This window comes from Homo sapiens, chromosome 2, assembly GCF_000001405.40.
Source record: "Homo sapiens chromosome 2, GRCh38.p14 Primary Assembly".
Classification (NCBI taxonomy): domain Eukaryota; kingdom Metazoa; phylum Chordata; class Mammalia; order Primates; family Hominidae; genus Homo; species Homo sapiens.
Window position 1 is genome coordinate 63,105,406 of NC_000002.12, and position 12,348 is coordinate 63,117,753.

The following is a 12,348-nucleotide window of genomic DNA, read 5'->3' on the forward strand; positions in this document are numbered from 1 at the left end:
TCATCGAGCCTCTCTAAATGAGCATTTTGAATTCTTTGTCTAAGGTTTAACGAATTTCTTTTTAATTGGTATCTGTTGCTAGAGAATTATTGTGTTTCTTTGGGGGTGTCATATTTCTTTGCTTTTTGTGATTCTTATGTTCTTTTATTGATATCTGTACATCTGGTGTAACTGTTGCTTCTTCCACATTTTTGAATTTGCCTTTGTAGTGGAGGACTTTTTCCTGAAGATGTATCTATGACCTTGGTTGGGTAGGGCACTTTGGTGTTGATTCAGGTGCATGCAGTAGTGTAGTTCCTGTATGGTTTCTTTGGCTATAAACAGTGTTAGTGGTACCTGTGACTTCTGTGTAGCTTAGGTGCAATTATTAGTGGAGGTTGTGCTGAAGTTTTGCTCAGGACTGGGATGCCAGGTAGGCCAGTCTTTGGGCCCCAGGGGTGGCAGTGGTAGACTGAAGTGATTATCCTCGAGCCCTGGAGTGGTGTATGCTGATTCTAGCATTAGTGGGTCCAGATGGCTGGTTCCTGGGCCTCCAGGTGGTTTGCTTGGATGCTGGCACTGGCAGTGGTAGGCCAGGCATGTGGGGATGTTCTTGGGCTCCTGGGCAGCAGGTGTGATGTGGGTGATGGTAGTGGCAGTGGTGGGGCAAATCACTGGAACCCAAGTGGTTCAAGCTGCTGTTGGTGGTGGCTGCAATGGGTTGGGAAGACCAATCCTCTGATCCACAGGTGGCATATGTGTTTGGGTGCCAGCTGTGGTGGTATTGACCAGTTGCATCAGCCTGATCTCAGACCTCAGGAGGAGTGCTCAGATGTCAACAGTGATGGGCTGGGTTGGGCAATTTTTAGGCACCTGGACAGCATGCTCAAGTGTTAGGGGGACACACTGGTCCAGCAGACTTGTTATCAGGTCCCTGGTAGTGTGTTTAGGCACTAGCTATGATAATAGGGGTGGAGTTGTCTCTAGGCCACTGGAAAAATGCTCAGATAGGGACAGTGGCAACTGTGCTGCAGAAGCCTGCCACTGGGGAAAGTGGGGCCACTCTCAGTGGGAGCAGCAAACGCAGACAGTTCTGGAGTGTATGATTTTCTTGCACTTCAGTCCTGCAACAGCTTGCAGCAGCAGCAGTCATCGGATTTGTCTTTGGGGCACATGAAAGTGCTCAGCCTCCCCTCTCCCTCCTTGGCCTGGGAGTAGCAGCAGTAGCATCGGCTCCAGGGCAGGACACAGTCCTTTCGGGACTAGGGTCTCAGAATGGTGCCTTGTGGTAGCTACTCAAGGCTTAGGGGCCTGTGGGTCACAGTGTCAGCTCCCTCTCTGTAGCAATGCCTCTGCACAATCTTTAGGCAGCTCCCTATGTGAGTCTCAAGGCCCATGAGTGTCAAGGGGCTCTCCTCTAGCTAGGATTGTAAGAGTTTGTGGCAGGAGTGTGGACCCTTGGGGTCTCTGACTTACCTTTTCTCTGTGTCACAGAGCTTCTCCTGGCTTCCAGTGCATCTTGGCCAAGGAGGCTGCCTCATTTCTGTCCTTTCCTTGCTTTCGGTGCTTCCTAGAACTTCTCGGTTGAATTCCAGTGTTTTCTCCTAGAGGATCTATTCTAACTGTAAGTATCTATATGATATTTGGTTCCTTTCCATGGATGAGGTGCATACTAGTAGGATCTAGTCAGTCATCTTGAATCAACTCGCCTCATGATTTTTCTGAAGCTGCTTCTTTTCTTAGAACCTCTTCTTTGGGATAGAGATTATAGCCATCCCACACATTTCCTTAGTTATTATTTTTTGAAGATTCATAGCATATCGTTTAGCCTTTACTGTTTGTTTTTTTTTGCCATTTAAAGTACTCTTAAATTGCTTTTGTTAGGCTTTGACAAAGAGAAACTGTGATGTGGTTTTACTCTGCCTTCCAACCAGCTCTCGGAAGACCTATAATTTTTGTACTTAGAAAAATTAATAAAGATATTTCTACTTTAGAAGGTAGAATATAAAGTTTTCAAAAAATAAAATGAGACATATTTGAAAAATTGTTCACAATATAATAAGTGCAATGAAAATAGCTTGTCAAATTTACAAAGAAAAATGAAACCGATATATTGAGGATTCAGTTTAAAAAATGCCACATACAAACATGTTTCCTCAGAATTTATAAAACTTCGTGGAAAACAATGTGGTAATGTATTTTACAATTCTTAAAAATACTTATTTTCTTTCACACAACATTCCAGTTTGTCCTAAGGAAATAACCAGAAATATGTATATATAAACAACAAAAAGACATTAGTATTAATATAAACCTTAAACTGAAAAGTGATTAAAATGTTAATCAACAGATAAATGTTTAAGTGTAATTACAAAATGCTCATTACAAAAAACAGGATGGTAAACTATACATATTATGTGACCCTAGTTTTATAAGAAAAATATATTTATAATGACAATGAAAGGAAGCACACATTTTTTATTTTATTTTTTAATAACTTACGTAATTTTTTCAAATGTTCCATCATGAATATATATTCTTAAATTTAGAGGAAAAATAATAAGATTAAGAGATATCTGTTCTCTGATGGTTCTAGAGCTGGGAAGGGTTGCAGTGGAAGAAAGGTTGGTTAATGGGTATAAAATAGATGGAAGGAAAAAGTGCTAGGGTTGTATAGCACAGTAGCATGACTATAGTTAACAATAATCCCACTGGGCCTTGTGTTTAAGAGCAGGGTCTCTGAAGCCATCCTTGTTGAAGACAGTTTTGCCCAAGGGGATATCACAGAGTATTTGTGGGCATGAAATGATTGTATTTATAAATTTGCGCAACAGACTTGATCTTTGACCTTTTGGTGATCTTCTTGCCTATGGCACCTGTCACTTTGTAGGGACAGTGGTCAATTCCAGACACCAGAGATACGGTTGTAGGGGTGATCTGAAGTGCCGTCATCGATGTTCTACATGATGATGTGTTGGCTTTGAGTCCAGAGTAGCATCAGGCCAGGACCAGCACCACTCTCCCAGGTTTCACAAACTTGCCCATTTCGACAACAACCAAGTAGGCCTACATCAGAAAGGAAGAAGGGGCACTTCTGCTAACTGTATATTTCAAAAAAGTTAGAAGATTTGAGATGTTCCCAAAACAAATTATAAATGTTTGAGGTAATAGATATCCTAATTACCCTGATTTGATCATTGCACATTGTATGCATGTATAAAACTATCATATGTACTCCATACATTTGTATAATTATCAATAAACAAATTTAAGATATCTATTGCATATGAAAGAAATAAAAAGAAATGAATGCAAACTTAAGTATTCATAAGAGGATAAAAATATGAGTTTAAAGTGATAAGATAGCAAAAATGGTAAGACAATAATGTATGCTAAGATTAATCAATATAAGCCAATTAAAACCAGAAGGTAAAAGATTGAATAATAAAGTGATACAATGTTTAAATAATATAATAAAATAATCTAATATTAATGAATTTTAAAAACAAAATCACACTAAACTGAAAGAAGTAAATAAGGTAGATACCCAGATTAAATCTTCACGTTAACATTCTGTAAGAATGAGAATAAAAAGAGTTTTCTGAGCTGAGGAAGTTTCATAGCTTTAGTGACTGTCTGAAGATTGCTGAGAGGTAGAAGACAATATCTATTTAATGGTGCCATTTTCCCCTGGTTTCTCACACTTGAAAAAGCAGCAGCTCTTAGATATTTTAAAAGGAATATAAGGAGTTTTGGGGTTGTTTCTTTGTTGTCATGTTTTTGGAAGTTCTTAGTTACGGTCTCATCGTGACCATCTCAGAATGATAGCCTCAGACCCACAGTCTACATGACTTCTGGCTCTCCCACACGTAATTAAGTGTTCATGTTCTAATTCCAAATCCCCAAGAAAGAGTATCTAATTGCTTCAGTCATTTATGTTCTGGGGACAGGGTTGGGAGTGAAGGAACAGGGTCAAATAGTACAAAGGATCTGTTCCTTCCAGGGTTATAAGCAGGACAGATTCTCAAAGAAGAAATTATTGGCATCTCTGATACATGTTGTGAATAATTTTAATTTTTATATGTAATGTGAATAATCACAGATAAAGCAAAGGATTTTTTTTTAAGTCTCAGTGTCTTCCACTGTACTTGTGAATTATGTGAACACAGTAATGGTAGCTTCATAGAGTGGTCACAAAATGAGAACATATTGATGTCTAGATAGAATTATCTTAAGTAAATCTCTGGATTGAAGATTTCAGCATGTTCTCACTTATTTGTGGGATCTAAAAATCATGTCAATTGAACTCACGAACACAGAGAGTAGTAGGATGGTTACCAGATGCTGGGAAGCGTAGTAGGAGGTTAGGGAGGAAGTAGGGATGGTTAATAGGTACAAAAAAAAAAATAGAAAGAATGAATAAGACCTACTATTTGATAGCACAATTGGGTGACTATAGTCAATAATAACTTAAATTTATTTTTTAAATAACCTAAATAATGTAATTTGATTATTTGTAACTCAAAGAATAAATGCTTGAGGGGATACATACCCCATTTGTATGATGTGCTTATTTCACATTGCATGCCTGTATCAAAACATCTCATGTACCCTGTAAATATATACATCTACTCTGTACCCTCAAAAATTTTAAAAAGTTTTAAAAAATTATAAAATGTTATCAAATGATGATTTTAATTCTACCCCATAAAATTAAATAAGCATTGTATTTCACCTTTTAAAATAAGTCCATTCATGGTATGTAGATATTAAAACTAAATATTTTAGGAAAATTGCTTTTGTTCTATGTACATGTTTAGCATTACTTCCTGTGTAATTTTAAAATCTGAAATTCTTCTAGCATACAGAGTAAGTAGATTATGATATATTGAAGGATTAAGCTTCACTGTCTTGTGTCAGATTAATCTCTCAAACATAGATTGTCACTTGACCTGATAGAAATATGACTGTAATTCACCAAAAAAATTCAATGGATAAGTAACCATTTCATTATTTTATGTAGAATGAAGAATGTATGCTTCTTGACTGATTGTATAATTCTCCAAATTAAATTTAAATAAACCTCATAATCACGCATTTTTCTCAGAGTTTCATAAGGATTCATGGAAAAGGTATCTCTGATAGCTTATGTGGTGAAATAGAACAATATACATATTCTGTGATTCTTCCCACTTTATTAGGCTTAAAGTGTGTTAAAGTTACTGAATGAGGATAATTTTGTATTTTTATATAAAAGTTTCTGCATTATTTTAAACTTAAATTTTCTCATGAAACAAGTACAGATAAACTTTTGCATTTAAACAAAATAGTTAATACTATGAGAACATTACTCCATTTGCTTATATGTTTTTGAATGAAATAGGTAAAATTATATGCATATAAATGAATGTTAAAAGGGAGTGTGAAAAATAAAGATAGCAGTGAGGATTATAGTTTGAAATTAATGTGTATTTAATAGTTAAAGGAAATTTAAATAAAGTAAAGCAATGTGTTTTTGTCCTAACGGGAGGTTGCATGAAAGAATTTAAATGTATCATATTTAGGTAAATAGTTCAGCTATAGAGCAGAAATATTAACATAAAAAATTAATTAAAAAGTTGAAAATAAATAGGTGGGCACAGTGGCTCACGCCTGTAATCCCAGCACTTTGGGAGGCTGAGGCAGGAGGATAGTTTGAGTTCAGAAGTTTAAGACCAGCCTGGGTAACATAGTGAGACCCTGTCTCTATAAAAAAATTAAAAATTAGTCAGGTGTGGTGGCATGCACCTATAGTCCCAGCTTCTCAGGAGGCTAAGCCGGGAGAACTGTGTGAGCCTGGGAGGTGAGGCTGCAGTGAGCTGTGGTCGTGCCACTGCACTCCAGCCTGAGTGACAAAGCAAGACTCTGTCTCAAAAAAAAAGTTAAAAGTATTAATAAACTTTTACATAACACATGAACAATATTATGTAATTTATGTTAGAATCCATTGTAAGAGGATAAAGGAATACTGCTTTTTTCGAAAAGTTGAGAATAAAAGTAGAATACTGAACTAGATTGTTAAAATCTGATTTTTAAAATGAATTGTATTTTAAACGTCATGACTTGTTTTTTACAAGACCTAATTTTTTTTTTTTTAGACGGAGTCTCACTCTGTCACCCAGGCTGGAGTGCAGTGGCATGATCTCGGCTCACTGCAACCTCCACCTCCTGGGTTCAAGCGATTCTCCTGTCTCAGCCTCCTGAGTAGTAAACTTCATGACTTATTTTTTATAAGACCTAATTTTTTTTTTAGACAAGAGTCTTGCTCTGTCACCCAGGGTGGAGTGCAGTGGCATGATCTCGGCTCACTGCAACCTCCGCCTCCTAGGTTCAAGTGATCCTCCTGCCTCAGCCTCCCGAGTAGCTGGGACTACAGGCACATGCCGTCACACCCAGCTAATTTTTGTATTTTTAGTAGAGATGGGGTTTCACCATATTGGCCAGGCTGGTCTCGAACTCCTGACCTTGTGATCCACCAGCCTCGGCCTCCCAAAGTGCTGGGATTACAGGCATGAGCCACCGCGCCTGGCAAGACCTAATTTTTTTAGAGCAGTTTTAAGTTCACAACAAAGTTGAGAGGAAGGTACAGAGATTTCCCATATATGTACTGTCCCCACAGATGCAATAGCTTCCCCCCATCAACATCCCCCACCAGAATGGTGTATTTGTTACAGATGATGACTCTCCATTGATATATCATCACCCAAAGTCCATAGCTTATATTAGGGTTTACTCTTGATGTTGTACATTCTCTGGGTCTTGACAAATGTATGATGAGCTGTATCTACTCTATCGTATCATATAAAATAGTTTTACTGCCCTAAGAATCCTCTGTGCTCCACCTGTTCATCCCTCCTTTTCCTGTAACCCCTGGAACCCACTGATCTTTTTATTGTCTTCATAGTTTTCCAGAGTCCCCTTTTCCAGAATGTCATATTGATGGAATCATACATTATGTAGCCATTTCAGATTGACTTCTTTCACTTGGTATTATGCATTTAAGGTTTCTTCATGTCTTTTCATGGCTTGATAGCTAATTTATTTTAGTGTTGAATAATACTCCATTATTTGGATGTACTACAGTTTATCCATTCACCTACTGAAGGGCGTCTTGATTGCTTCCAAGTTTTGTTACTTATGAATAAAACTTTGATAAACATCCATGTGCAGCTTTTGTGTGGACATAATTTTTCCACTCTTTTGGATAAATACCAAGGAGCTCAATTGCTGAATGATATATATGGTAAGAGTATGTCTAGTTTTGTTGAGAAACCACAAAACTTTCTTCCAAACTGCCTGTACCATTTTGTGTTCCCATGTACAATAAATGATATTTCTTGTTCCACCTCCCTGCTAGCATTTGGTGCTATCAATGTTCTGGATTTTGGCCATTCTAATAAGTGTGCAGTGGTTATCTTCTTTTTTTAATTTGCATTTCCCTCATGACATATGATGTGGAGCATCTTTTCATATGCTTTTTTTTGCATCTCTATGTCTTCTTTGGTGAGAAGTCTGTTAAGGTCTTTGGTCCTTTTCTTTTTTTTTTTTTCTTTTTTTTGAGATGGAGTCTCGCTCTGTCGCCCAGGCTGGAGTATAGTGGTGCGGTCTCAGCTCACTGCCAGCTCCGCCTCCCGGGTTCACGCCATTCTCCTGCCTCAGCCTCCTGAGTAGCTGGGACTACAGGTGCCCGCCACCACGCCCAGCTAATTTTTTGTATTTTTAGTAGAGACGGCGTTTCACCGTGTTAGCCAGGATGGTGGTCCATTTTTTAATTGGGTTGTTTTCTTATTTTTGAGTTTTGGGAATTCTTTGTATATTTTGGATAATAGTCCTTTATGAGATAGGTCTTTTGCAAATATTTTCTCCTAGTCTGTGACCATGTTTTCATTCTCTTGGCAGTGTCTTTTGTAGAGCAGAAATGTTTAATTTTAATGAAATCCAGCTAATTGACTCTTTTCTTTTATAAATCATGTCTTCAGTGTCACATCTAAAAAGTCATCACCAAATCTAAGGTCATCTAGATTTTCTCCTGTTATCTTCTAGGAGTTTTATAGTTTTGTATTCTACATTAAGGCTTGTGATACATTTTGAGTTAATTTTTGTGAAGGTCTTCCTCTAAATTTATCTTTTTTTTTTTTTTAATAAGAGAAATCTCGTTCTTGTCCCCCAAGTTTGAGTGCAATGGCTTGATCTCAGCTCACTGCAACCTCCGCCTCCTGGGTTCAAATGATTCTCCTGCCTCTGCCTCCCAAGTAGCTGGGATTAAGGCGCCTGCCACCACGCCCAGCTAATTTTTGTATCTTTTTTAGTAGAGATGGGGTTTCACCATGTTGGCCAGGCTGGTCTCGAACTCCTGACCTCAGGTGATCCGCCCACCTCGGTCTCCCAAAGTGCTGGGATTACAGGCGTGAGCCACTGCACCCGGCCCAGATTCATCTTTTGCATGTGGGTGTCCATTGTTCCAACATCATTTATTGGAAAGGCTATATATATATATATATATATATTTTTTTTTTTTTTTTTTTTTTTTTTTACAATGTATTGCCTTTGCTCCTTTGTCAAAGATTAGGTGACTGTATTTAGTGGCTCCGTTTCTGTGCTCTCTATTCTATTCCATTGACCTATTTGTCCTTCACCAGTACCACACTGTCTTGATTATTGTAGTGTTACAGTAAGTCTTTAAGTTGAGTAGTGTCAGTCCTCTAACTTTATGCCCCTTCAATATTGTATTGGCTATTCTGAGTCTTTTGCCTCTGCATATAAACATTAGAATTGGTTTGTTCATGTTTACAAAATAACTTGTTGGGATTTTGATTGGGATGGCATTGAATTTATAGATCAAGTTGGAAAAACTGATGTCTTGATAATATTAAGTCTTCCTATCTATGAATATGGAATATCTTCCAATTTATTTATAGTTTTCCTCATATAGATCTTCTAAATATTTTGTTAGATTTATACCTAAGTATTTCAGTTTTTTGGTGCTTATGTAAATGGTATCGTGTTTTTTATTTCAAATTGCACTTGTTCATTGCTGGTATATAGGAAAGCAATTGACCTTTGTATATTAGCTTTGTATCCTGCAATCTTGCTATAATTGCTTATTCCAGATTTCTTGTGAATTCTTTTGGATTTTCTTCCATGATTTTTTTTAAAAAAGCAAATTGGTAGTTATGTAACTAGGGTTATAGTTGTAGATTATTAAAATATAGAAATATTCTTAGCAAAATCTTGCTACTTCTGAAAGTCAGCTTTTTTGGAGTTATTTTAGGAGATAGCAGATCTCAGTGAATTTCAGTCTTCAAAGTCATATTAAGGAAAAACTATGTTACATATATATTTCTCAAAATTGTGATAAATACACATAACATATAATTTACCATCTTACCCATTTTAAGTGTACAGCTTAGTGGGCTATGTATATTCACACTGCTGTGCAGCCAACCTCCAGAACTTTTTTTATCTTGCAAAACTGGAACTCTCTATCAATTAAATAACAACTCACAATTTTCCTCTCCCCTCATCCCCTGGCAACTACCATTCTATTTTTGTTTTTATGAATTTGACTATTTTGGATACCTCATATAGGTGGAATCATAAAATATTTGTCTTTTTGTGACTAACTTATTTCACTTAGCATAATATATTCAAGGTTCATGTATGTTGTAGCATGTGTCACAATTTACGTCCTTTTTTAGGCTCAATGTTCTATTGTGTGTGTGTGTGTGTGTGTGTGTGTGTGTACAGACATACATAAGCACCACATTTTGTTTATGTATCTGTCGGTGGACATTTGGGTTCTTTTTGCCTTTTGGCCATTGTGAATAACAATACTGTTATTAACATGGGTGTACAAATATCTATTTGAGTCACTGCTTAAAATTCTTTTGGGTATATACTGGAAGTGGAATTGTTGGATCATATGATCTTTGTATTTTCAATTTTTTGAGGAATGAACGTACTGTTTTCTGTAATGGCTGTGCAATTTTAACTTTCTACCAACAGTGTATAAATGTTCTACATCCCTGGTAACACTTGTTATTTTCTTTCTTTCTTTTATAATGTAATAGCCATCCTAAGGTATGTAAAGTAGTATGTGATTGTGGTTTTGATTTTCATTTCCACTGGCGACTACATTAGCAATGTTGAGCATTATTTCATGTGCTCATTGGCCATTTGTATATCTTCCTTGGAGAAATGTCTGTTCAAGTTCTTTGCCCATTTAAAAATATTTTGCTATTTTTTGTGTGAGTTGTAGGAGTTCTTTATATAGTCTAGATATTAAGCCCTTATCAGATATGACTTGCAAATGTTTTCTTCCATTTCATAGACTGCTTTTTCAATCTGCTGGTAGTGTCCTTTGATGCACAGAAGTTTTTGATTTGGAGTCCAGTTTATCTGTTTTTACTTTTGTTGCTGGGCTTTATATCCAAGAAATCATCACCAAATCAAATGTAAAGAAGCTTTCCTTGTGTTTTCTTCTAATAGTTTTATATTTTCAGGTCTTATGTTTGGGTCTTTGATCACTTTTGAGTTATTTTTGTATATGGCATAAGGTAAGGGTCCAACTTCATTCTTTTGCATGTGGATATCCAGTTTTCCCAGCAGCAGCATATGTTGAAAAGACTGCCCTTTCCCTCCCCATTTAATGGTCTTGGCACCCTCATCAAAAATAATTTGACCATATACTCTAAGGTTTATTTCTTGGCTCTGTATTTCTTCAATTGGTCTATATGTCTGTTTGTATATATATATATATATATATTTAAATAATATAATTAATTAATTAGTATTTTCTTTCTTTCTGTTTCTTTTTTTCTTTTTTTCATAGAGAGTCTCATGCTGTCACCCAGCCTAGAGTGCAGTGGTGCGATCTTGGCTCACTGCAACCTCCACCTCCTGGGTTCAAGCAATTCTCCTGCCTCAGCCTCCATGAGTAGTTGGGACTACAGGTGCGCACCACATGCCCAACTAATTTTTGTATTTTTAGTAGAAATGGGGTTTCGCCATGTTGGCCAGGCTGTTCTTGAACACCTGACCTCAGGTGATCTGCTCACCTCGGCCTCCCAATGTGCTGGAATTACAGGCGTGAGCCACCATGCCTGGCCAATTAGTATGTTTTAAAATAAAGTCTTAGTTGTAAATTTGATAGTCTTTACTAATGTAGAGATGGTGAAACTTCACCTACATTCTCTTAGGGTCCTGACTGGGCCCAATAACTAAACTGATATAAGTTAGATTAACGGGAGAAAAGCATGCACATTTATTCAATATAAGTTTTATGTGGCATGGGAGCCTTCATAAAGAAATGAAGAACTGAAGAAGCTGTTAGAGTCAATTACTTAAATACTGAATTGGACAAAGAACAGTAAGTTGGGAAAATGTGATAAGGCAAAGGGGATTAGGCTAGGATAGCTAATTGTGTAGGTAAGTAGCCAGGAAGATAAGCGTTGGTGTAACTAGGTTTGTTTGTACACAATTCCTTTGGCCTCAGCTTTTTGTCCTCCATGGTAAGAATGTTGCATCTTTTATATAGGAATTTCATTTCTTGCCTTAGGAACCAGCATGAATGTCATAGCGATCTTTTTTTCACCTGCTGCTTTTCAAGTGCTCTATTAACTTAAATAGTTAATATGCCAGAATGGTATAATTTTTTTCATTAGTGAGTCCTGAGATTTTCTTTTCTTTTCACAGTAACCATAGAAAAATCTTGCTCCTACCCCATCTGCATCAGTCCCATTTCCCCTGCATCCTATAGGTAACGACGTCATAAGGAAATACACATATATAAATCCTATTGTTTCTCCTTTTTTAAACTTAATCTATCTTACAGTTACTTTTTACTGTCCTAATTACAGCACATTTTTACTTTTTAGGTTCTATGATTTGAAGAGTGGTATGGCTATGTATTACAGCTTGTAAGTTGTTACCATATTTTGGAGCAAAATGTATTATTATTTCTACTATTTACATTTAACATGAATCATGATCCTAAAAGCATCAAAATGTCTTCATAACATCCTACAAGGAAGACAGAACAGCACTGCTGTTCTACACTGTGGCTCTTGCCCAGTCTATAGTTACAAGAAATAGTTCTTTAGTTGTTGTGATGCCCTGGGTAGGCTTCATTCTTAAGTAATGTACTTTGTCTATATTAACTCCCTGCAAATATGTATATGTGAACAGAATATCTTGAAGATACATGGTGAGGTTTGGTTGCCTTTGTTCTCTGAAGTCTTTTTTTTTTTTTTTTTTTTGGAGATGGAGTCTCACTTTGTCGCCCAGGCTGGAGGCCAGTGGCATGATCTCGGCTTACTGCAACCTCTGCCT

General features: G+C 36.8%; 1 pseudogene; it reads right to left on the reverse strand.

Moving 5' to 3' along the window:
• RPL27P5 (ribosomal protein L27 pseudogene 5) lies at positions 2,691–3,024 on the reverse strand (annotated as a pseudogene).